This window comes from Homo sapiens, chromosome 1, assembly GCF_000001405.40.
Source record: "Homo sapiens chromosome 1, GRCh38.p14 Primary Assembly".
Taxonomy (NCBI): Eukaryota; Metazoa; Chordata; class Mammalia; order Primates; family Hominidae; genus Homo; species Homo sapiens.
The window spans coordinates 115,014,652-115,042,141 of record NC_000001.11 but is presented as its reverse complement, the minus strand read 5'-3'; the positions used below and the strand labels follow the sequence as shown (position 1 = coordinate 115,042,141).

At 38.1% G+C, this 27,490-nt stretch overlaps 1 protein-coding gene across 2 annotated transcripts, besides 1 other annotated feature; it reads right to left on the bottom strand.

Annotated features, from left to right (window-relative positions):
• Positions 4,620–4,914: an enhancer, noted in NCBI's record as "tiled region #5363; HepG2 Activating DNase unmatched - State 5:Enh". NCBI's record gives its function as "activates a minimal TATA promoter and a strong SV40 promoter by Sharpr-MPRA in HepG2 cells {active_cell/tissue: HepG2}" and the evidence as "EXISTENCE:reporter gene assay evidence [ECO:0000049][PMID:27701403]".
• TSHB (thyroid stimulating hormone subunit beta) lies at positions 7,833–12,316 on the bottom strand. 2 transcript variants are annotated; one of them, NM_000549.5, is made up of 3 exons: positions 12,282–12,316; positions 8,618–8,780; positions 7,840–8,169 (listed from the first exon to the last, which is right to left on the bottom strand). In NM_000549.5, exons 2-3 carry the CDS (start codon positions 8,777–8,779, stop codon positions 7,915–7,917), a joined length of 417 nt encoding a protein of 138 aa, NP_000540.2. In that variant the 5' UTR covers position 8,780; positions 12,282–12,316; the 3' UTR covers positions 7,840–7,914. The 2 variants fall into 2 exon arrangements, with proteins under 2 accessions (NP_001264920.1, NP_000540.2); NM_001277991.1 differs by lacking the exons at positions 8,618–8,780; positions 12,282–12,316 and having other exon boundaries at positions 7,833–8,196.

The window sequence follows — 27,490 nt, the reverse complement described above, 5'->3', positions numbered from 1 at the left end:
TTTGAATTTCCTATCTGAGATATCACATATTTCCACCACTCCAATGTTGGCCATTGACCCCTTATTTAGTCTGTTTGGTGAGGTCATATTTTCCTGAAGTTTTGTGCTGGATGCTTTTGGATGCTCATTGATGTCTTGGCATTGAAGAGTTGGGTATTTATTCCAGTCTTCATAGTCTGGCCTTGTTTATCCTCATCCTTTTTCAGAAGGCCTTCTAAGAATTCAAAGGCAGCTGAGTCTTGAGTTCAGTAAGCCTGTGTCATTACAGCTATTTCAGCACTAGAGGGTGTCCAAAGCCCAGGTACACTAAGATTCCTTACAGATTCCTGGATACCCATCCCTGATGGACTTGGAAAAAATAAGGGAAGTCCCTGGATACCCAGGAAAAGTCCCTCACTCTCTTCCCTCTCTTTCCCCCAAGCAGGAGTCCCTCTCTGGGGTTGGCCACTTGGTGTTGTGGGAGGGGTGACTCAAGCACTCTGGCCATTGCAGCTGGCAGTGCGCTGAGTTGCATCTGATACCCATGACCTCCCAAACCAGCATAGGACTAGGACACTCAAGGCCCATGGCTGCTATTGTCTGACTGCACTGATGTTTATTCAAGGCCCAAGGACACTTTTGTCAGCAGGTAGTAAAGCCAGCCAAGAATTGGGTCTGCCCTGCCAGGGCAGTGGATTCCCTCCTGGTCTGGAGTGGGTATAGAAGTGTGGTCCAGGAGCAGTGGCCTAGAAATAGGGGCTTCAAGATTCTGCTAGGTGCTTTGTTTTACTGTGGCTGGGCTGGTACCCAGTCGCGAGACAAAGAGTAACATCTTGTTCCCCCAAGCAGAAGGAGTCTCCCTTCTTGCTGCACTGCCTGGAGTTGGGATGAGGTGACACCAGCACTCTCGTGGCTGCTGCAGCTGGTGTTGCACCAGGTCACATCCCAATCCCACTGCCTCCAAGACCAATGCAACACCAGGGTTTGCCCAAAGATGGAAGTCATTATGGCCTGACTGCCACTTGAATTTATTTGGAACCCCAGACCACTTTACTCAGCCTGTAGTGAAGCCGGCTGTGACTTGTGTTCCTCCTCCTGCTGCAAAAGATTCCCCTCTGCCCCGGGACTGGTTGAAGTGCTCCCTTCTTGAGCATCAGAGAAATTCTGCCTGGTGTTGTGTTCTGTGTCAGAACAGCTCTGAGTTCCAATGCAAAATCCCTCATATTTTGCTTTCCCTCCACTAAGCACGCAGATTCTCTCTCTGTGCTGCACTGCCTGGGGTTGGGAATGGGGTGGTGTAGGCAATGCAATACCGTCCTTCCTACCCTCTTTAATGCATCTTTCCTTGTTATTTTATTAAAACCAAGTGCTGTGATCTCTCACCTGATTTCTTAGTTCTTTTGAAAGGGCTTTATTTTGTAGATAGTTGTTCAATTTGATGTTCCTGCAGGTAGGGGGCCCTATCACTGCAGGGTTCTATTCCAGCATCTTGCCCCACTTCCTAGCTCCTCCTGTATACTTTAAATCATTTCTAGATTACTTGTTTACTTAATTCAAAGGACATGCTGTATAAATACTTGTTATGCTGTATTGCTTAGGGAATAATGGCAAGAAAAATTTTATACGTGTTCAGTACAGATGCAACCATTTTTTTTTTTTTTGGTCCAAATTGTTTTAATCTGTAGTCGGTTAAATCCACAGATACAGAACCCACAGATACTGAGGATCAACTATAGTTGTATTTTAATTCATATTTTTTATGTAAATTATACCTCTTTTCCGCAGAATTGCTCCTTTATTATCCATGGTTCAAGCTATAAAATTGCACACTGACGCAGGGTCCAGTGTGGTTCCCCATGCAGTCAGCAACTATAATTGTTCTCCTTACCCTGTGAGCGGTGTTTATAGATTTGGCTGAGTGAGAATGAGGCTGGTGGGAAGATGGCAATGAAGGAGATAGCATGTTTTCCCTTCTGAAACAGGTTTATCAAAGATGAAAAGGAAGAGGTACCCTTCTGTCATGGGTAAAATGGAGTTTCCACAGCCACTGGGAAAGCCACTGGAACTTTAGTAGGTGCACCACACCCCTGCTTTCCTGGTTCATGGCCCCTTTGACATCCTCTTTGACCACCAGCTCCTCAATTTCAACAACATCATTTTCGCCACCCCTGGGAGAGAACACTCATGGGCCTTCAAAGCTAGTAGATTAACTGCATTATCTTAGTTCGGGCTCATCCAAATCAAATTTATGTTAAGTTAGATTTTAAGAGGGACAAAAGGTTTCTACTTTTTTTCAGCATGATCCTTCGTTTTTTACTATAACATGTACCTGTAAGGTATTATATGTAAGTTTCTTTTGAAAGGTAAAAAGACTTCACCAATGCAAAATGATTTTTAAAAATATCCTCATTATAACAGCAAAGGCTAAATACATTCCAGAAATCCACTGTTCATATAGTTTATCTCCTGGGGATAGGGGAACCAGGAAGAACAGGAGTAACATGTCCTGAATGTTGCAAAGCATAATCTATGCTGATTTCATAAAGTTTTTAGCTAATGTATCAGAAATCCTTTCAAAGCTTTGGTAGTTGTTTGTGGCAGGAGGCAGCGTTGTCTGTATAATTTATGATGTTCTTATATTAAATGGAAAAAAATTAAAAGAAATTACCAATATAAAATGCCTAGCATACCTGGCAAGTAATGAATATTATCTGTTGTAATTATGTTAATACTCTGATGAGGAGAGGTTTTGGTTTTTTGGTTTTTTGCTTTTTTTTTTTTTTTTTAGATGATGGAGTCTCACTCTGTTGCTCAGGCTGGAGTGTAGTGGCATGATCTCGGCTCACTGCAACCTCCACCTCCTGGGTTCGAGTGATTCTCTTGCCTCAGCCTCCCTAGTAGCTGGGATTACAGGCATGCGCCACCACACCTGGCTAATTTTTGTATTTTTAGTAGAGATGGGGTTTCACTATGTTGGCCATGCTGGTCCTCGAACTCCTGACCTCAGGTGATCTGAACACCTTGGACTCCCAAAGTGATGGGATTACAGGTGTGAGCCAAGGAGAACTTTTTGCTAATTACAAGTCAAACAGCTTTCTAGAAATGATGCATAACTGAACATATTTCATTGTGATACCAATTATCCATTTGAACACATTTATTTGTAGAATTAATGAATAGCTTTTGATATCTTTCCCAATTCTATTTTAATTCAAAGACTTGAGATCAGTAGCCATAGCTAGAGTCCTTATGCTTTTCTCTGGGCCTACTCTACCTTATAAGATGAAACCCACACTAATATTGGATTGGTTTTTTACTTTGGGGGTTACTATTTTGTACATTTGGAAAAACTATAAGAATATTGATATGCTAAGATGGGCAAGACAAGTCTCTGCTGTCAAGCAGCTTATTATGGAAAAAAACAAGCAAGCATATTACTATAGATAAGTGTTATGATACTCATTAACACAGAATAGGCCCGCTCACCTTTGGGGAGAGTGGTCAGGAGAGAGGCTTCGTTTATGTTGGAGTCTCTAAACTGAGTCCTAAAGAACCCATACTAATTAGCCAAGTCAAAAGTAGTAGAAGAAGATGAGGGGATTGCTGGGGAACAGCATGCAAGAAGAGCCTGAAACATTAAAGGCATGGAAACATTCAAAGAAAATGAGTCAAGTGCTAAGGAGATAAATAGCCCTATTAAAGTATACTTGAGTGCTATCTTTGTCCTGAGGCCATGGGGAAAATTTTACATGGTGAGTTACAAAATTAGACTTGAACCTTTTAAAAATCACTTAGTCTTAATATGAAGAATTACTGGATGGCAAACACCAGAGTCAGGAAGATTTGTAGCTAATGTACTGGAAAGCCTACTAAGAAGTAGACAGACTTAAGAGAAATTGGATGTGAGAGATGAAAGAAAAAGAGGAATCTGGAGTAATTCCCAGGTTTCCGACTTGGCAGGTGGAAGATAGTGGTACACAGGAGGAAAAGCAGATTGTGATGATGACATGGGGTGGAGATGATTATAGGATACCCAAGAGGAAATATAAACAAGCACTAGATATATGGCCCTGAAGCTCAGGAAAATAAGTCTGAACTAAAACTGTAGGAATCAATATAAGCATGGTCATGCCCATATTTGAACAAGATAAGCCACCTCTTATGATTAAATCCCCAGCAAGAAAGTTTTAAACTTACTTTAGTAAGTTAAAATCCCGCAGTAATTCTTTGCTCCCCACCTATTTCTTATCCTAAACTTGGAGAGTCTTTCTTAGCTGCCTGTGTTTCTTTAACAACTGCCATCAAAACTGTCTTTAATGAGTATAAATCCTTAGGATATCCAAGGCTGAATTAATACAAACCCAAGTTTCTCATATGCTGTACATTTAACAATGTCCAAAGTGTCAATATGACACATAAAGTTATCACCACACTGGCCCTCCTTTCACAAAGTTTAGAATCTTCATCGCTACAGAATCAAGCAAAATCACCAAGCAAAAATACAGTCCAGACCTACATTACTGTTGCCTGCTAAAGACCATGGCATAGATTTTGAGTCATCTTGGAGAAGGAGGGTAGAAAGAAAACATGAAAAAAGGAGAAAATGTGGATTTCATCTTGTTTAAGACTGGTTATAAATGCCATAATGAGGAAAAAGAAAGAAAGGAACCAGTTAGGCAGATAGCTAGGATAAGTCCTCTGTAGGATTCCTTTTGTCTAAAAAAGGAACAGCCTGAAAGATCAGACTGCAAGCATAGATAAGGAGGCAAGGTCCACCATGAAGATACCTTCTGTGTAATTAGCAAGGGTCACTTATACACAGTAGGCTTCAGTGAGCACATTCCTTTCCTTTTTTGAACATACTGAGATAAGGGAGTTTGCACAGGGGAGGGAGGAGAGGGCTTGCTTGAAACATGCCCAAGAGCAGTAACACAGAACCCGGCACATCCACAATGGAGAATTCCGCCCCCTTACACATGCACAGTAAGGGAAACTAAGTAATATAGAGTAACTTAGGCTAAGAGTCCACATGCACACTAAAAAGACAGGGAGGAGCTGTCAGGAATTTGTGTCTTATGCAAATGAAACACCTAGTCCTAACCATTTTTTTACACCTTATGTAAATGAAATATCTTGCCCTACTAGCCTGTTTATAAAAGCCCTTGTATTCCACTGTAGAATAGCAACCCTCTTTCAGTTTCCTGCTCGAAAGGAGAGCTTTCTCCTTTCACTTATTAAACTTTCGCTTCATCCTCACCCTAGTGTTCATGCTCCTTAATTTTCTTGGTGGTAAGACAAAGAACTCTGAGTCCTACTTAAAAACAACAAAACTAAAACATTGTGGTGCATTGGCAAGGCTGCTACAATAAGATGTATTGCATTGTGAATCCAGATATGTGAGGACCACTGGGCCCTCTAGGGAAGAAGGGAGGTCAGGGCAGATTGGGACTAACAGTTGTCCTGTATATTGGCCCATTAGCAAGTCATTGTTGACCTTACTGAAAACAATTTCAAGAGGGGACAATAGTGGAAGCCAAATTGTAATGATTGTGAAGAGAACGAGAAGTGAGGAAGTAGTTGGTTAGTGTAGTGGGCTCTTTCACACACACACACACACAAAACTCGAAATAAGAACTCAAGGAGAGAGGGGGCAAATAACTAGATGGTTGCAGAGGATCAAGAGAGGGTTGTTTTTTTGCTTTTGCTTTTTTTATGATGGAAAGAGATTTAAGGATGCTTCATACTGAAAAGAAGGAATCAAGAAAAAGGAAGCAAGAGAAAATACGACAGCAAACAATGAAGTCCTAGGGGAGATGAGGAATGGAATTAGGAGCATCTTCTGAAACTAGTGGGAAAGAGCTGAATCTATCAGAACTTCTCAGTTGCAAGTGTCAGAAACCTAACTCTAACTGGGCAGAAAAGGGAAGTTATGGTTTCTTTTAAGGGGTGAAGCCAGCTTCAGATTAGGCTCAAATGATATCAATAGGCCTCTCTCTCCTCAGTCTCTCTTGCTCTCCACTGGGTTGGACAGCTAGCTGTTTCCAAGGGATGCCAAAGATGGCCAGCAGCAACTCCAGGCTCACATTTTATCAGTTTAGGAACTCCAACAGGCCAACCACTTCTCTTTCTAATAGTCCAGGTTTGGTTGAGCCTAGTAGCATACCCACCCTCATCATCCCCACTGAAACCACTTGAACTCAAACTGTAGGTGAAGAGAACCCCAGAGGGAAATCAAGGTGCAGCTACCAGAAGAAGAGACATGGATGCTAAGCAGGCAGAAACGGCAGGTAGAAGGAGGGTAGCAGAAGTAGAGAAAGTGAGATAGAGTTGTCTTATAAGTGGGGATTAACCAGGAGAGATAAGCAAGTAGGGAAGAACCCAACAGTGAACAGTAGAGTGGAAGTTAACTTTATAAAAGAATTTTTATTGCACTTAGACTCAGACAGTTCAAATCCTTGAGAAAACTTTTTCAGAATCCATGAAGGCATTTGTGACTAGTCCCTGTTAGATTTGAACATTAGACTTTTTATTTATTAAAGATCTGTATTTGACATACAGTTTAAGTGGTATGCAGCTTTAAATGTCCATGTTATCAGCTGATATGAGAACACAAAACCCTAGATTAATATGTGGAGACCACACAAATACCAATTTCAGATATTAAAGTAAAATAATGTGAGTTCTGACTTTTGTATGTAAATACACATCTATTCCCTCCCTGTTGTACTAATCCATCTACAGGACCCCACCACTACCACCACCACCCTCCTCAGCCCACCCCATGCACTATCAATCAGCATACAGACATTTACAGTATGCCTAGCTGAATTTAACTGGTGGCTATAGAATACAGCAAAGGCAACTGGCCCTGCTGACAACTGTTTTTCACCTTGGTGGGGCAGTGTGAATGAAAAGGAATGGACAAAGAGAGGATATATCAACTTTTTGAGATCAAGTCTACAGGGCACTGGGTCTGTCTCACGTCAATCATCTGTTGAAACCAAATTCTCATGAAAGAGTGTCTAAGGAAGGAGAATAAAAATAAACAGCTGCTTACCAAGCACATTTACCAGAAAACAGTGTTTCAATATTGATGAAGGTTTAGATTAGAATTTAGAATAATTCCACTCTCTCAAATCCCTTTGCACTCTCCCCCATCCCTAAAACCTTTTATTGTCATACCAGTTTTTCATTACATTAAAAGTCAAAACAGCACCAGTTACTTTTGGTATAAATGCTGAAAAGCATCTCCTATTACTTGAAGGCCTACAAAGGATTTAGACTTCCACATGTAAAATGATCGTGGCCTCTTTTCTAGGCTTTGTAAACTGACTTTTTGGGGTATAACTTTCATAGGTCACTTGGTGCACCAGAGTAATTAATTAAAGAAAATAGTTCCTAGACTCTTCTGAGTTTGGGTGGAGTTTTATCCAGTGCATTTGAATGACCAGGAATAAAGCACTCCACTGTAGATTCCACATGCTCCTTACTCCCCACCTCCATGCCAGCCCTGCTTCTAGCCTTTGGAAGTAGATGTCTCCAGTATCCTGACACCATGTGTTCCTTCAGCTTTTGATCACATTACTCTCTCTTCATAACTCTGTAGTCATCCCACATTCACTTTCTATATCATAGAAACCTCCTGGCCCTCTGTTAGGAGAGACTGTTCAAGGTGAGCTTTTTGGCATTTCATATCCCTGTTCTCCATTTTACCACCACTCTGCTCTTTCACGTGAAAACCAACCTTCAACTGAGCCCAAAAGGTCCATTCATTCACCTTTTCTTCTAAAACCACTTAAGCTCTCTAACGCCTGTGTAGGTATGGGTATGGATTAAATAGTACTCAAAATGAACAGAAGATAATGTGAAACATAATATTTTTATTAGCTTTATTTCAGGCAAGCACATTTAACCAAATTGCAAATTATATCACTATTAGACAGAAAATCCTACCAGATAAGACTTCTGAGGTTTGGTACAGTAGTTTGTCTTGATGGCTTCATGTATGCAGTCACTATAGTCAGTATTGCACTTGCCACACTTACAGCTTAAAGCAACAGGATAGGAAAAATAGGGAGCAACATGGAGTGGGCATCCTGGTATTTCTACAGTCCTGTAGATGAAGTCTCTATATGTGCAAACATCCTGGGACAGAGCATATTTGGGAAGAAACAGTTTGCCATTGATATCCTGGGGAAAGAACAGAAAAGAGAGCATAATGTGACAGGACTTTAGGAAACATATAGATAATAGAAACATAAAAATAAATTCACTTATATTCCTTCATCACAAATACAACTGGGAAAGAATTGCTTAGCCCCATTCTCCAATACCAACTTAACCACGTTGAATTCTACAGAGACAAAAGTGAGACCCTCCTCTCTTTCATCGTTGATCATGGGAACAAGATAAGGTTTAAGTAAAGCTGGGACACAAAACTGTTATAAAATTATGCGTATCCATTGTGCTGAGTAGATTCACATAATATTGTAACCTGTGTACTCTGCTTCTAAGGAGCCAATAACCATTAGATTTGGGAAATGAGGTTGTGATTTATTTCATTTCCTTTCTATATAGGAATGGACTTCTTCAGGGCTTATATAATTTACAGCCAAAAGAAGTGACATGAACTACATACCCGTGTCATACAATATCCAGCACAGATGGTGGTGTTGATGGTTAGGCAATAAGCACACTCTCTCCTTTCGATGTGCATTGTATACTCAGTTGGAATACAAAAAGACATCGCTTGCCCACATGTAAGGCCAAAAAGCATGGACATCAGAAAGAGAGCAGTCATGCTAAATCAAAGATAAAATTAAAGAACCTATTTGTTAAAATCAGAAAGGGCAAAGAAACCAAGAAAAAGTATAACCAAACTTCAGTACCATCCCAATGCATATGATCATGCTTATAATTCTACCATTTGGTCAAGGAAGACACCAGAAAGATAAAGTCCAAAAAAGGTCAACTGAAATTACAACTGGTGTTAAGGGGCTAACTCAGAAATCTAGGAACCCCCTGATCCCACTTCCAAACCCTTAGGATATCCCTTTAAGGTGGAAATATGTACAGCTGGGACAAATTAAAGATTATTTTACACAGAACAGGTATGTAATTTGTTCTCAAAAAGATTAACAGGCAAAAAAAAAAAAAAGGTTGACACAATTAGAAGAATACAATCAAGGATGACAGCTCCATTATGGGTTAGCCAGGAATATTAAATAATTTTTGGATGCATGGAAGAAAATAGAGGATCCACAGTGCCTCAGGCAGAAACAGAACATGCATCTCAATAGAGCCTGCGTGATGAAGAACTTGTTCAATATCAATTGGATATCATTATCAATATGTATTGATTGGATATAGTTATATTGGATATGATATCATATTGGATATATCATATCAATATGATATTGATATGATATTGATATTGATATCATTATCCCTCTGGATAATGTTATGACATAATTATTTTAGGTCTACTACTGAGGAAGGGTAATTAAATTTCAGACTTTTGAATGTAAGTTGATCACCTTGAAGATTAAGAAGAATTTTTTTAATCTTACAAATATTGTACAGCTAGCTAGATGTGTTTGGATTTTTTTCCTTCTCAAGTATCATTGTCAGTAAAGAAAATATATACCTTAATGGAGTAGTATTGTGGTCTATGAACATAAACTTGTTTGCTTGTTCTATTAAATAAAATATAATTTACTAAATATTTTGTTCAATAATCAGAAGTACCAAGATTTCCCCAAATCTGTCAGTTATATCCCAACAGCATCTTTAAGCTATATACACTAAAACCTCTGTAAACTGAAACCTCATAGGTTCGGCCTTGGTTAACCAGGATTTTTTTTTCAATCAACTTATAAGAAACCATGAAAACCACATTACACAGGTTACCAGGGATTTATTTTAAATGTCAAATTCCAGAGATCAGTGGTCATTTCAATCAACCTTCTATTCCTAGAATGAGAATTGTAGATAAATTAGATAAACATATATTGAGCATCTGAACCAGGCACTGACAAACACAAACGGAAAAGCTACGGTCCTTTACCTAAAGGGCTGACTGTCCAGTGGAGGAGCTAATATGAACACAAATAATAAAAACGCAGATTGTTCTAGTGCTCTGAAAGAGTCCAAATTAAGACTTTAAGACCTACAATTATCAAAGATTTATGTTTACTATACTTCTTATTACACAAGAAAGTAAACTAACCCATTTTAGGAAGACTTAACTTTTAAAGGTTAAAATAACAGGGGTTTTTCTCACAAATTCTTTTAAATGAAATGTTGCATATTCAAACATTCCACGGAAGGTTTGTTTGGTATTTGAGTTAAGGAGCAAAAACATACAAATTCCTTACTCATGGAATCTGGCTTTCTCAAGCGCTTCTCAAATGTGAGCTCCCTCTATGGTACAGAGTTGCTTCCAGTATTTTAGAGATACAGAACTTGATGATCCTCTGTAGGATCTTAAAATTACTAACTGGTAAATTATGTAAAATGCTTACCCATCATGGCCATTATAGTTCTTGCTTGTTTAGACAGCCAGCTACTGAGTTTTTTCTATAGGAAACAACTAACTTCACATATTTTAACTTTTAGCTCTATAATTCTGTATAAAATCAATGTGGTGACCTGGTGATGAAAATATTGGTCTAAAAATTAAGAAACAGAATTCTTCCATAAATCTATGAGAACTTGACTAAAATATATAATCTGTTTGAGTGTTATTTCCCCATCTGCAAAATAGAAAGTGACAAGTACACCTGACCCTTTTTAAAATGTAGGATGAAAATTTGTTTTGGTTTTCCTATTGTCATACTAACTATGGATACTCTATATTTTTTTGAAGTTTCTCCTATAAATGTAGAACTCTAAACTAACAAAAGTAGAAAATGGAAGTGCTGAATTACCAGCCACAGTATCTGTACAACTTTGTGGGCATAAAGAAAGCAAGAACTTTTCTTTTCCTTTACTTCTTTATTGCGAATAGTAAAACTTCACCCACAGAATCTTTCTGGGCCTCAACTTTCTCACCTATAAAAGCAGGGCTTAGAGCCAGAAGATGATCATGAAAATCTTCGCAGCACAAATAGTCTGTAATTCTATATGATAAATTAGTGTCAGATCTGATTGATTGATTAAGAGTTAGTGATCTAAATTCTACTTAAGGATTTAATTGTAATTGTGTGCAACTGAGCAATTTAATATCTTTGTGCCTTCATTTTTCCATATGTCCCTTCCTAAAATCATAAAAAGAATAAAACAATACATGTGAAACACTTGGCTCTCTATATAAGAAAGATCACATAGCTGTATAACACTGTACAAATCCGCGTTAGTTAATCCCTTCCTCTGTGATATGCCACAATTTCTTCCTCATTGTCATCTGGGTTCTCATCTTTGCCACTTAATTGCTTATTCTGAAATCACCATGAATAATTTGTTGGGTACCTAAACATAGAAGGCATGGTTTCAGGCAGGGCCTAAATAATGAGATGCCTTCTTCAGATGCATGGACATATATGTCCCTACTTTGAACGTATTTTCTTATTCCAAGATATGTTCTTTCCTTTGCCTCTTTCCTCTCTTTTTTTCTCTTATTTTTGCTCCCAATGCTTCATTCTTAATAAACACTTTCCTCTCTGCTCTGCTAATTTCCTTCATTAATTTTTACTCTCCAAATCCCTTACTATGAAAAGAACTAATTGCCCATCCTATGAATAATCCTGGAACTTCACTAAAGCAGTATATTTTTCTAGAAAGCAAAATGTACTATACAGCAGCTGTGTGTGTGTTGAACACTATCAAAGGAGGTTTAGCTATTAAATAACTAAAAAGAACTTATAATACAGAGTACATTACCCCAGCAGGTACTCAAAAATGAATTTGCTCTAACATTCCCGGAAGTACATTTTCATAAAAGATGGCCATTAGTACAGTAATTGAGAGGATTTAATACACACATCATTAAATGGACAACAATATTTAAATCAAAATGAAAACAGAAGAAAGCCATGAATATCAAATATCCTTCATTAGGGAACTAATCAGTTGTTTCTCTTTCTTTAAGTCAATGAATTTTTTCCTTATCCTTATGTAGGTAGTTCTCTCACCTCCATCTACTACTAAACAATTTGGAGCAGTAATTTAAGATATTACAGCCTGTTGAAGCAAATTATCTTTCAGCATTTGCCACTTTCTAAAAAATGATAAAATGGTGAAAGTGAAAAAAAATAGCTTAAGAACATATCATTTCACAGAGCCTTCTCACTATAGACACCTACCTTACTTTGCATTGGTGAGCAGATGCTGTGGTGACCCAAACTAAAAGCTCTTGGTTCATTTTATACCCTTCAGGATAATCCCTCTGATCTTCTTGTTTATACAATTGCATTTGATTTACTGCTTTCTTATCTGAAAAGCATCTATTGAAAATTCATACTGAATTCCAAATAAAATGTATTTAGACAAACAAGCTCACAATATCTTTACCTGGAAACTGACATTATTAAAGCATGCATTTTCCTCTCTTCTGTTTCAAAATAAAATTACCTTTTAAATATATTCTTTATTAATATTTATTTATTAATATTAATAAAAGATAGATACAGAATGGGAAAAACCAAATTCAAAAAACACTCTAACATCATCTAAATAAGTCTTGGGAATAAAAATTTATTTGGGGCTTGAGGGCTTCAAGTTTTACCTAAATGTTCATGTAAAGATATATAAAATTATTCCTCATCTAAAAATTTTGTTTAGAACAAAATGTGTAGTTCAAAATATTTTTGGGGGATTTTAAGATATTAAGTAAAATTTACACATGTGAAAGAATGACTCTGAGGAACATGGCCACATCTGACAGGATGTCAAGCTGACCTGAGATAAAATTTTGGCCCTGCCATTTACTTGCCATATGACATTGGCATGCTTGACCTCTTCAGTTTCTATTAAAAGGTAATATCACTTCTCTAATGATTTGTGGTGTGAGCATTTTTTCATATGCTTATTGGCCATGTATATATCTTCTTTTGAAAAGTGTCTGTTTATGTCTTTTGCCCACTTTTTAACGGGGTTCTTCAGTTTTTGCTTATAAATTGTTTAAGCTCCTTATAGATTCTGGATATTAGACCTTTGTCAGATGCATAGTTTGCAAATATTTTCTCCCATTCTGTAGGTTGTGTGTTTATTATGTTGATAGTTTCTTTTCCTGTTACATCAGGTAACAAAAGTACACGATCCTAGAGAGATGGGAAACAAACAGGGAGAAACTGCCTGGAGAAAGTTTCTGGGCCATAATGCAGAAGCCCTTTAGTTAAAGGTCCCATTTGTCAACTTTTGTTCTTGTTGAAACTCCATTTGTCGTCTTCGTCATGAAATCTCTGCCCGGTCCTACATCTGGAATGATATTTCCTAGGTTATCCTCGAGGGTTTTTACAGTTTTAGGTTTTACATGTAAGTCTTTAATCCACGTTGAGTTGATTTTTCTATATGGTGTAGGGAAGGGATCCAGTTTCAGTCTTCTGCATATGGCTAGCCAGTTATCTCAGCACCATTTATTGTACAGGGAATCTTTTCCCCATTGCTTGTTTTTGTCAGTTTAATTGAAAAAAGAATGATTGTCAAATCAGGCAGCCCTCAGAATCAGAAGAGATTCACAGAGCTCTGCTCCTCAATGTGGGCAGACAGCATTTATGGACAGAAAGTAGAAATGAGATATCGAAACAGCTTGATTTCATTATACATCAGCACTTGCCTTACTTGGACAAAGTCTGATCAGCTGGCTGCCTGTAATTGACTGAAGCTCAGCTGCTGTGATGAGCTGAAATTCAGCTGTCTGTTACAAAAGTATACTCCTAAGTTAGGCTTTCAGGTAGTGTACATACTAAGTTAGGTTGCAGTTCATTATGTAGGAACTCACAAAACAGAGGTATCCTCAGGCCACATTTAGTTTAACAGATATATACCTAGAAATGGCCATGCCAGGGTCCAAGGTCTTGGGAATGTGAGCTACTATGTAGTAAGATAATTTTGAAAACAGGGAAACTGGAAATGAGTGTGCCAACCTAATTTCAGACAAGATGCTAACACAGGAATATGATAAATGGAAGAATGTTGGATGTGTGTTTCTAATGGAATTAGTGCCTCCTTTGTATAAAGCATTGATTCAGGAACTCATTTTCTAGCGGATTTATATACCTATCCCTGGGAGATATATGTATGTATGTGTGTGTGTACATATGTAATGGACAACTGATAGACACTTGGCCTGTTACTAAAAGAACTATAATAAATACCATGCATTTGGGTAGTGATTTTCTTGCTAAAGAGGCCTTAGTGTATATGATCTCATACTGTTAAAAGAATCCAGGCATGTTGAATTTGTGCTTCTGATCCAGGTTTACTTTCTCACCTAAAATAATTATAAAACAGTACAAAATATATAAAATAATGTCTTTATACATATTGGACATCAGGTAACAAAAGTACATGATCCGAGAGAGATGGGAAACAAACAGGGAGAGACTGCCTGGAGAAAGTTTCTGTGCCATAGTGCATGAAAAGTTACCAAGGCAGAGGCCAGAAGCATCACCAAATTGAAGAGATAGACCTGGGAGTCCATGGATCCCCAAGGCAGCTAGAGTTCACAAGAAAGACATTATCAAAAAAGAAAACCACAAACTAATAACCCTCATGAAATGAACATAGATGCAAAAATTCTTCACAAAATTTAACAAAACAAAATAAACAATATGTAAAAAGAATAATACATCATGGTCGAAGTGGAATTTATTTCAGGAATGCGAGTTTAGTTTGCATTCAATTAAGAAAATTCACCCTACTAACGGGCTAAAAACTAAAAGCCTTATGATGATCCCAATGGAAACACACACACACACACAACCACATACACAAAAAGCATTTTACAAAATCCAACATAGATTCCTGAAAAAATTTTCGGCAAACTTGGAATAGAAGAAAACCTCCTAACTTAATAAAAGGCATCATGGAAAATTTATGATTAATATCATGCTTAATATTGAAAGACAGAGTACGTTTACTCTAAGATCAGGAAAAAGGCAAAAACGTCTGCTTTTGCATCTTCTATTAAACACTGTGCTGTAAGTGCAATGTTAACGCAATAAGCCAAAGGAAAAAAGACATTCAGATGGGAAAGGAAGGAGTAAAATTTTATTCACATACGACATGACCATCTATGTTGAAAATCTTACTGAATCGCTGATTTCAAGATGGTAAACCTATGGTAATTAAGAAAGTGGTGTTAAGACAGATCATTGGAACAAAATATGGTCCAGTAATAAACCTGTACACATGTGGTCAAATTATTTTCAAGAAAGGTGAAAACAAAATTGAGTAGAAAATAAATAGTATTTTCAACAAATGGTGCTGGAACAATTCGTTATCCATATATAAAAATAAATACTTTTTAAAAATAAATAAATAACTTCAATACATATCTTGCATTATATACAAATATTAACATGAAATATAAAAACTAAAATTCTAACATTTCTAGAAGAAAGCATGGAATAAAACTTTTGTTAGGGCCGGGCGAGGTGGCTCACGCCTGTAATCCCAGCACTTTGGGAGGCCGAGGCGGGCGGATCACGAGGTCAGGAGATCGAGACCATCCCGGCTAAAACGGTGAAACCCCGTCTCTACTAAAAATACAAAAAATTAGCTGGGCGTAGTGGCGGGCGCCTGTAGTCTCAGCTACTTGGGAGGCTGAGGCAGGAGAATGGCGTGAACCCGGGAGGCGGAGCTTGCAGTGAGCTGAGATCCCGCCACTGCACTCCAGCCTGGGCGACAGAGCGAGACTCCGTCCCAAAAAAAAAAAAAAAAACTTTTGTTAGGCAAAACTTGAATTAGGCAAAACTTTCTTAGATATAACACCAACAGCATGATCCATTTTCAAAAAATGATAAATTGGACTCCATCAGAATTAAGAACTTCTCTCTTCGAAAGGCATTGTTAAAAGAACGACATACCACAAACTGAAAGAAAAGAAACTTGCAAATTATATATAAGATAAAGAACTTGTATACAGAATATATGAAGAACCTGCTATACTCAATTATAAGAAAAAAATTATCCAATTTTTTAAATAAGCAAATGTTTGAATAGACATTTCACAAAATTATGTAGATGGGAAGTAAACAGATGAAAAATTTTCATCATTAGTCTCAGAGATAAGAAATTAAGACCTCAATGACAGCACTACACACGTCTTGGGCTGCCTAAAATTTAAAAATTGGAAATACCAAGGGTTAGCAAGGATGTGGAGCAATCGAAATTTGTATACAATGTTTGATGGAAACATAAAATGGTACAAGTTCGTCAGTCCATAAGTCTCTCAAAAAGTTAAACATACACCTACAATATGACCCAATCATTCCACTCCTCAGTATTTATCTAAGAGAAATAATAAGATATATCCATACATGAACTTGTACATAAACATTTATAGCATCTTTATTTTTAATAGCCCCAAACTGGAAACAACCTGAATGTCCATCCACAGGTGATAAACAAATATGTCATATATATGCAGTAGAATATGTGTCAGCAGTAAATAGGAATAAACTACTGACACAGCAGTGACATGAACATCAATAATTATGTTATAATCTTAATGTTATTAAGACAGACCAAAACAGAGTACATGCCATATAATTCAGTTTATATAAAATACCAGAAAATACAAATTAGTGTAAGACAGCAGACTAATGATTGCCTGGGGATGAGGAAAGGCAAGGAAGGGGAAGAAAGAGGGATTTCCAAGGGGCAGAGGAAATATTTAGGAGGTGAAAAATGTGTTCATTATCTTGATTGTGATGATGGTTTTACAGGATATACATATGTTAAAACCTACCAAAATATATGCAGGGTTAGGGGTTGAATTATGTACCCCCAAAATTCAAATGTTGAAGTTCTAACCTGTAGTATATCAGAATGTGAACTTATTTGGAAATAAGTTCATTACAAATGAAATTAATTAATATGAAATAATACTGGAGTAAAGTAGGCCACTAGCCAATATGATTGGATATATCCCCTTCCAAAAAGAGGACACTTGGACACAGACACATGAACAAGGAGAATGCCATGTGAAGAATGAAATTATGTTGCTTCAAACCAAGGACTACCAGAAGCTGCAATAGAGGCCTGGAATACATCCTAGCTCAGCAGCTTCAGAGGGAACATGGTCCTGCAGACACTTTGATCTTGGACTTCTGGCCTCTAAAACTGTAAGAAAATAAATCTCTGTTGTTTTAAACCACTCAGTTTATGGTACTTTGTTATGGCAGTCCCAGGAAACTAATATATGCAATTTATTGTATGTCAATTATACCTCAATAAAACTGATAAAAAATATGGTAGGTGGAAATCATCTGTGCCTACTTGTCTAACTTCATGTCATACCCACCTCTCTCCACCTTTTATTTATTATGTCCCTTAGAACATTCCAAACTTGTTCTTGGAACAGTGCTTTTACATTTGCTATTTGTTCATTATGGAGCAACCTTTCAACAAGTCTTTGAATGGCTTTCTCCTTATCATCTCAGCTTAAAAATTACTTCTTTAGAAAACCCTTCCTTGACCACCCAGTCTAATGCAGCCTACTGCCACTGTCACTTTTTATCCTGTTATCTCATATATTCTTCATTGCACTTAGCATTTTCTGATACTATATTATTTGTTTATATACTTATTCTCTGTCTCCCCCTTTCCAACCAGACTGTAAGCAATTTAAATGGAAGCTTTGTTTGTCTTGCTCATCACCATATCTTCAGAATCCAAACCAGCCTCTGCTATATATTAGGTACTCAGTAAATATTGATTACATAAATAAATGGAAACATAGATCCTATTCTGACATTTTGCATCCATGGAGAGGTTATTTAATGCTCTGATGTTCTATAGATAGTTATAGGCAAAGTCAGGCTAAAATCCAAGTTTCTTGACATCGTTTTTGTTGCATTAAAATTTTAACTCATTTTCAAAGAAAAACAAACACTCGTACTCTTTACTTAGCTAAACAGAGAAGTGGCATTAAAATATGAATCAGATTTACTGACATTATCCTTTACCCCAAAGATTGGGTACTTTTCTAGCTCCTACTATTCTCTATATCCATAAAATTCTAAAATCCTGGGCAATATAGACACTTTTAAAATAATCAGTTTAGCCATCTTAAGCCTGAGTTATCAGTAACAGTCATATTAAAATGGCCTGCAACATGAAACAAAACCTGTTTGTTTACTTAATTCCTTTCCATGCTTTTTTTCTTAATACAGATAATTGGTAGCAAACAGAGTTCACCCTATCTGCATATTGAGCATTTTATTATTTTAAAGCTCTCAAGTGAGAAGACAAAATTGATTTAATATGTATAAAAATTATGTCAATTTGCTTTTCTCTTTTGGTAACAGATTAAAGCCCCTTGTATACCAGATTTACATGAATGTATGCAAGTTCTTTTCTATTTCAAAACATTTTTTGAAATTAAGGTCATCTATAAATGTTAATAGAAATTGCTAACATCTTCTGTCATAAAATTTGTAGTGTTATAAAGTCAGCTTGGTATCCAATTTTCCTTACCTGTCTGTCAAAACTAGTTTCTCTATCCCTTAGTATAATATCTTTCTTTCTACTTATGTTACTTTATATAACCTCTTGGTAATTAGATATTATTTATCTGGCTGAATAATGTGAGCAGTATTAATTGTATTCACAATAACAGGTATAACCACTTCTCAGCAACTAATGAACAATATGCTATTAATCTCATCCAAAAATTTTAAACTTTTCTTATCTTTTTTTAGCACACCTTTTATTTCTAAAGAAGTTTGCAGTATGATTATATGCAAAAATTAATCAAAAATTTAGTTAGCAAATTAATCAGTGGTAGTCACAGAATAACAAATCCATAATGTAGTTAACTTGTCTCACTACATATGTATGAGTTTTCCTAGTGTTTAGAATTATCTTCTATTGGGAACAATGGCTATTCATGAACTCATTAATTCATTTGTTCAACAAATCTATGGGATTTCCACCTCATTCCAGACACTGCCCTCAAGAAACTCCTTCTTACCAGTCATCTTCTTCACACAGCTATAAAATAACAGTCCAGACCTCTCCTTGAGCCCCAGACCCATGTATCCAACCCCTACAAGACATCTCCAATTACACGTTCCACAGGAACTTCAAACTCAGTGAGAACCCTGAATCCCAGGGACTGAGTTACGTTCTCCTTCTTATACCAGCATATCGCCCTCTGAGCTTACTCCCAAAAGAAGGCAGGAGAAAGGCACTAAGCCAGCTATTCTAGCCCAAAATATGAACCAGGTTTGGTGAACCTCCCCATAGGTAAAGTCAGTAAAGGAATAGGGAGAGGACCAAAATGTGTTTAGGTAAACACATTTTGATTTCAAGGAAGTCAAGAGTAGGGAAAAGCTCTTCCCTGCCTGGCACAAGAGGAGGCCTCCCAGTCTCTACTCCAGCACTACTAACCATTGTTTTCATTGGTCAGTGCCCAGACTATTCAGCTTCTCCCAAAAGCCCCACATATTTCTGCTTTCACCCATCAAGGATTCACTGGTATAAGAATTTCTCTTCTACTAAAAACAGTTAGAAAACAGGGCAAAATATATGAACCAATTATTCATAAACTTTGGATAATAGGCACCACAAGGCTGATACTGAAAGAAAAGAAACAAATAAATTAAGCCCTACGATTGTCCTAGAAACCTGAAGGCAGTTTCTAGGCTACAGCACAGAGAGGGGGAGCCAAAAAGAGACTATACTCTTAAGGAATTGTGAAGAAACGTATAGAAGTTCAGGGAGTCTGAAATGCCTAGAATTTTTAGGACAGAGAAATGAAGAGGAGGGAGCTGCCTAGAAAGAAAATCTGGAGATCTGAAAGGGGTTTTCATTGAGTCTTCAACTGATGACCAATTTGTATATGATGGGGTTGAAACTAGGAAGCCAAGGAAAGATCACTGAAAATCAGGAGGCTGAACAATTCCTCGAGCTTACTTACGTCTAAAAATAGTTTGTGCTTCCATAAGCCAAAGTGGAGAAGTATTATAATACATAATTAGGTAGAGTCCTCAGAGAAGTCATGCTTTAAAAGTGAGGATAAATTAACTCTAGAGTTAAGGCTGCTCTGAACCTTCCTGAACAAAGATAAAAAGGAACTTTCAAAAGGATTGAGTGAACCAAGTAACATGAATGTCTGCCAGAACAAAGTTCAGTATTCCTTTAAAAAAATACAACAAAATATAACTCACTTATTAAAATGTAAAATTAACAATGTTGAGCATCCAATAAGAAATTACTAGGCATGCAAAGAAATGAAAAATATGACCCCTACCAGAAGGAAAATCAATAAATAGAAACAGGCTCAAAATGGCAGAAATAATGAAATTCACAGACAAGAACCTTAATAGAGCTTTTACAAACATTTTTAATACGTTTAAGAATCTAAATGAAAACATGAATATGAGGAAAAGAGAAATAAAAGGTATAATAAAAGACCCAAATGGAACTTCTAGAGATTAAAAATACAGTATCCAAAATGAAAAAAGAAAAGTCACTGAATGAACTGAAAAACAGAGTGGATTGTTCAGAAGAAAATATCAGTACACTTAAAGACACAGCAATAGAAACCATGGTAGCCAACCTCCAAGATGGTAACAATGGTAGCCAACCTCCAAGATGGTACCAATGATCCTCAATTCCTCGTACTTGTGTCATTGTGTAATACCCACCCATTGTGTAATACCAGGATTTGATATGTCTGTGTGATCTTCAGATTGGAGCAGAATTGAAGTTATGTGATTCCTAAAGCTGTCATAAAAGACATTCCACTCTCATCTTGCTCAGTTGAATCACTTGCTATGAGGGAAGTCAGCCATCAAGTCACAAAAACACTCAAATGACAGCAACTGTGGAGCAGTCCAAATGGCAAAGGACAGAGACCTCCTGCCAACAGTCAGAACCAACTTATCAACAATGTAACTGAGCCATCTTGGAAGTAGATCTTCAGCCCTTATTAAGTCTTCAAATGACTGCAATCCTAAGACAGTATCTTGACTGCAACTTGATGAGAGACACTCCAAGCCAGAACCATTAGCTAAGTCACACCCAAATTCATGATCCACAGAAATCATTTGATATATGTTTATCGTTGGTTTAACCTATTAATTTTTAGAATAATTTGTTGAGCAGCAACAAATACCTAATTCAGAGACTACTTAAAATGAATAGCACATGGAAAAAAAGTTTTTTAAAAAGCCTTAGCAGAATAATATCAAGCAGAATAAAATACATGTAATTGGAGTCCAGAATAAAAGGTGAGAATTAAAGTGGGGACCAAAAAAAATTGAAAATATGTGGCTAAAATATTTCCAAATTTGATGACTATAAAACCGCAAATCCTAGAAGTTCAATAAAACCCAAGTGAAATAAACATTTAAAAAACAATTAGGCTTTTCTCCCCCATGATGGAAGATTAGATGCTTTTCTAGCATCCTTCACCTACTTGGAAGAAGCAAAACAGTGTTTAGAGATTCACACTCAAAAAGGAACACAAGAATTCAACAGAAAAGCAAAGGACATTAGCCTTTTGTCAGATGAGTAGGTTGCAAAAATTTTCTCCCATTCTGTAGGTTGCCTGTTCACTCTGATGGTAGTTTCTTTTGCTGTGCAGAGGCTCTTGAGTTTAATTAGATCCCATTGTCAATTTTGGCTTTTGTTGCCATTGCTTTTGGTGTTTTAGACATGAAGTCCTTGCCCATGCCTATAAATCATGCTGCTATAAAGACACATGAACACATATGTTTATAGCAGCACTATTCACAATAACAAAGACTTGGAACCAACCTAAATGTTCAACAGTGATAAATGGGATTAAGAAAATGTGGCAGGAGGAGCCAAGATGGCTGAATAGGAACAGCTCCAGTCTACAGCTCCCAGCGTGAGCAACGCAGAAGATGGGTGATTTCTGCATTTCCATCTGAGGTACCCTGTTCATCTCACTAGGGAGTGGCAGACAGTGGGCGCAGGACAGTGGGTGCAGTGCACCATGTGCCAGCTGAAGCAGGGCAAGGCATTGCCTCACTCAGAAAGTGCAAGGGATCAGGGAGTTCCCTTTCCTAGTCAAGGAAAGGGGTGACAGACGGCACCTGGAAAATCGGGCCACTCCCACCCAAATACTGTGCTTTTCCAACCAGCTTAGGAAACAGCACACCAGGAGATTATATCCCACACATGGCTCGGAGGGTCCTACGCCCACGGAGTCTCGCTGATTGCTAGAACAGCAGTCTGAGATCAAACTGCAAGGTGGCAGCAAGGCTGGGGGAGGGGCGCACACCATTGCCCAGGCTCGCTTAGGTAAACAAAGCAGCTGGGGACCTCGAACTGGGTGGAGCCCACCACAGCTCAAGGAGGCCTGCCTGCCTCTGTAGGCTCCACCTCTGGAGGCAGGGCACAGACAAACAAAAAGACAGCAGTAACTTCTGCAGACTTAAATGTCCCTGTCTGACAGCTTTGAGGAGAGCAGTGGTTCTCCCAGCACGCAGCTGGAGATCTGAGAACAGGCAGACTGCCTCCTCAAGTGGGTCCCTGACCCCTGACCCCTGACCCCAGAGCAGCCTAACTGGGAGGGACCCCCCAGTAGGGGCAGACTGACAACTCACATGGCTGGGTACTCCTCTGAGACAAAACTTCCAGAGGAATGATCAGACTGCAGCATTCACGGATCACGAAAATCTGCGGTTCTGCAGACACCACTGCTGATACCCAGGCAAACAGTGTCTGGAGTGGACCTCTAGCAGACTCTAACAGACCTGCAGCTGAGGGTCCTGTCTGTTAGAAGGAAAACTAACAAACAGAAAGGACATCCACACCAAAAACCCATCTGTACATCACCATCATCAAAGACCAAAAGTAGATAAAACCACAAAGATGGGGAAAAAACAGAGCAGAAAAACTGGAAACTCTAAAAAGCAGAGCGCCTCTCCTCCTCCAAAGGAACACAGCTCATCACCAGCAATGGAACAAAGCTGGATGGAGAGTGACTTTGATGAGTTGAGAGAAGAAGGCTTCAGACGATCAAACTACTCTGAGCTACAGGAGGAAATTCAAACCAAAGGCAAAGAAGTTGAAAACTTTGAAAAAAAATTTGGACGAATGTATAACTGATGGAGCTGATGGAGCTGAAAGCCAAGGCTCGAGAACTATGTGAAGAATGCAGAAGCCTCAGGAGCTGATGCGATCCACGGGAAGAAAGGGTATCAGTGATGGAAGATGAAATGAATGAAATGAAGCGAGAAGGGAAGTTTAGAGAAAAAAGAATAAAAACAAATGAATGGAGCCTCCAAGAAATATGGGATTATGTGAAAAGACCAAATCTATGTCTGATTGGGATACCTGAAAGTGACGGGGAGAATGGAACCAAGTTGGAAAACACTCTGCAGGATATTATCTGGGAGAACTTCTCCAATCTTGCAAGGCAGGCCAACATTCAGATTCAGGAAATACAGAGAACGCCACAAAGATACTCTTTGAGAAGAGCAACTCCAAGACACATAATTGTCAGATTCACCAAAGTTGAAATGAAGGAAAAAATGTTAAGGGCAGCCAGAAAGAAAGGTCGGGTTACCCACAAAGGGAAGCCCATCAGACTAACAGCTGATGTGTCAGCAGAAACTCTACTAGCCAGAAGAGAGTGGGGGCCAATATTCAACATTCTTAAAGAAAAGAATTTTCAACCCAGAATTTCATATCCAGCCAAATTAAGCTGCATAAGTGAAGGAGAAATAAAATACTTTACAGACAAGCAAATGCTGAGAGATTTTGTCACCACCAGACCTGCCCTAAAAGAGCTCCTGAAGGAAGCACTAAACATGGAAAGGCACAACCGGTACCAGCCACTGCAAAATCATGCCAAAATGTAAAGACCATCGAGACTAGGAAGAAACTGCATCAACTAACGAGCAAAATAACCAACTAACATCATAATGACAGGATCAAATTCACACATAACAATATTAACTTTAAATGTAAATGGACTAAATGCTCCAATTAAAAGATACAGACTGGCAAATTGGATAAAGAGTCAAGACCCATCAGTGTGCTGTATTCAGGAAACCCATCTCACATGCAGAGACACACATAGGCTCAAAATAAAAGGATGGAAGAAGATCTACCAAGCAAATGGAAAACAAAAAAAGGCAGGGGTTGCAATCCTAGTCTCTGATAAAACAGACTTTAAAACAACAAAGATCAAAAGAGACAAAGAAGGCCATTACATAATGGTAAAGGTATCAATTCAACAAGGAGAGCTAACTATCCTAAATATATATGCACCCAATACAGGAGCACCAAGATTCATAAAGCAAGTCCTGAGTGACCTACAAAGAGACTTAGACTCCCACACATTAATAATGGGAGACTTTAACACCCCACTGTCAACATTACACAGATCAATGAGACAGAAAGTTAACAAGGATACCCAGGAATTGAACTCAGCTCTGCACCAAGCAGACCTAATAGACATCTACAGAACTCTCCACCCCAAATCAACAGAATATACATTCTTTTCAGCACCACACCACACCTATTCCAAAATTGACCACATAGTTGGAAGTAAAGCTCTCCTCAGCAAATGTAAAAGAAGAGAAATTATAACAAACTGTCTCTCAGACCACAGTGCAATCAAACTAGAACTCAGGATTAAGAAACTCACTCAAAACCACTCAACTACATGGAAACTGAACAGCCTGCTCCTGAATGACTACTGGGTACATAACAAAATGAAGGCAGGAGTAAAGATGTTCTTTGAAACCAGTGAGAACAAAGACACAACATACCAGAATCTCTGGGACACATTCAAAGCAGTGTGTAGAGGGAAAGTTATACCACTAAACGCCCACAAGAGAAAGCAGGAAAGATCCAAAATTGACACCCTAACATCACAATTAAAAGAACTAGAAAAGCAAGAGCAAACACATTCAAAAGCTAGCAGAAGGCAAGAAATAACTAAAATCAGAGCAGAACTGAAGGAAATAGAGACACAAAAAACCCTTCAAAAAATTAATGAATCCTGGAGTTGGTTTTTTGAAAGGATCAACAAAATTGATAGACCACTAGCAAGACTAATAAAGAAAAAAAGAGAGAAGAATCAAATAGACACAACAAAAAATGATAAAGGGGATATCACCACCGATCCCACAGAAATACAAACTACCATCAGAGAATACTACAAACACCTCTACGCAAATAAACTAGAAAATCTAGAAGAAATGGATAAATTCCTCGACACATACACTCTCCCAAGACTAAACCAGGAAGAAGTTGAATCTCTGAATAGACCAATAACAGGATCTGAAATTGTGGCAATAATCAATAGCTTACCAACAAAAAAGAGTCCAGGACCAGATGGATTCACAGCCGAATTCTACCAGAGGTACAAGGAGGAACTGGTACCATTCCTTCTGAAACTATTCCAATCAATAGAAAAAGAGGGAATCCTCCCTAACTCATTTTATGAGGCCAGCATCATCCTGATACCAAAGCCGGGCAGAGACACAACCAAAAAAGAGAGTTTTAGACTAATATCCTTGATGAACATGGATGCAAAAATCCTCAATAAAATACTGGCAAACCGAATCCAGCAGCACATCAAAAAGCTTATCCACCATGATCAGGTGGGCTTCATCCCTGGGATGCAAGGCTGGTTCAATATATGTGAATCAATAAATGTAATCCAGCATATAAACAGAACCAAAGAGAAAAACCACATGATTATCTCAATAGATGCAGAAAAGGCCTTTGACAACATTCAACAGCCCTTCATGCTAAAAACTCTCAATAAATTAGATATTGATGGGACGTATCTCAAAATAATAAGAGCTATCTATGACAAACCCACAGCCAATATCATACTGAATGGGCAAAAACTGGAAGCATTCCCTTTGAAAACTGGCACAAGACAGGGATGACCTCTCTCACCACTCCTATTCAACATAGTGTTGGAAGTTCTGGCCAGGGCAATTAGGCAGGAGAAGGAAATAAAGGGTATTCAATTAGGAAAAGAGGAAGTCAAATTGTCCCTGTCTGCAGATGACATGATTGTATATCTAGAGAACCCCATTGTCGCAGCCCAAAATCTCCTCAAGCTGATAAGCAACTTCAGCATAGTCTCAGGATACAAAATCAAAGTACAAAAATCACAAGCATTCTTATACACCAATAACAGACAAACAGAGAGCCAAATCATGAGTGAATTCCCATTCACAATTGCTTCAAAGAGAATAAAATACCTAGGAATCTAACTTACAAGGGATGTGAAGGACCTCTTCAAGGAGAACTACAAACCACTGCTCAATGAAATAAAAGAGGATACAAACAAATGGAAGAACATTCCATGCTCATGGGTAGGAAGAATCAATATCGTGAAAATGGCCAGACTGCCCAAGGTAAATTATAGATTCAATGCCATCCCCATCAAGCTACCAATGACTTTCTTCACAGAATTGGAAAAAACTACTTTAAAGTTCATATGGAACCAAAAAAGAGCCCGCATCGCCAAGTCAATCCTAAGCCAAAAGAACAAAGCCAGAGGCATCACACTACCTGACTTCAAACTATACTACAAGGCTACAATAACCAAAACAGCATGGTACTGGTACCAAAACAGAGATATAGACCAATGGAACAGAACAGAGCCCTCAGAAATAATACTGCATATCTACAACTATCTGATCTTTGACAAACCTGACAAAAACAAGAAATGGGGAAAGGATTCCCTATTTAATAAATGGTGCTGGGAAAACTGGCTAGCCATATGTAGAAAGCTGAAACTGGATCCCTTCCTTATACCTTATACAAAAATTAATTCAAGATGGATTAAAGACTTAAATGTTAGACCTAAAACCATAAAAACCCTAGAAGAAAACCTAGGCAATACCATTCAGGACATAGGCATGGGCAACGACTTCATGTCTTAAACACCAAAAGCAATGGCAACAAAAGCCAAAATTGACAAATGGGATCTAATTAAACTAAAGAGCTTCTGCACAGCAAAAGAAACTACCATCAGAGTGAACAGGCAACCTACAGAATGGGAGAACATTTTTGCAACCTACTCATCTGACAAAGGGCTAATATCCAGAATCTACAAGGAACTCAAACAAATTTACAAGAAAAAAACAAACAACCCCATCAACAAGTGGGCGAAGGATATGAACAGACACTTCTCAAAAGAAGACATTTATGCAGCCAAAAAACACATGAAAAAATGCTCATCCTCACTGGCCATCAGAGAAATGCAAATCAAAACCACAATGAGATACCATCTCACACCAGTTAGAATGGCCATCATTAAAAAGTCAGGAAACAACAGGTGCTGTAGAGGATGTAGAGAAATAGGAACCCTTTTACACTGTTGGTGGGACTGTAA

Bases quoted from the DNA above. Each gene is read 5' to 3' on its own strand.
- TSHB (NM_000549.5), bottom strand. From the start codon at position 8,779: ATGACTGCTCTCTTTCTGATGTCCATGCTTTTTGGCCTTACATGTGGG. The intron at 8,170-8,617 runs GTATGTAGTTCA...TTCTTTCCCCAG, and splicing joins CTGGATATTGTATGACACGG to GATATCAATGGCAAACTGTT.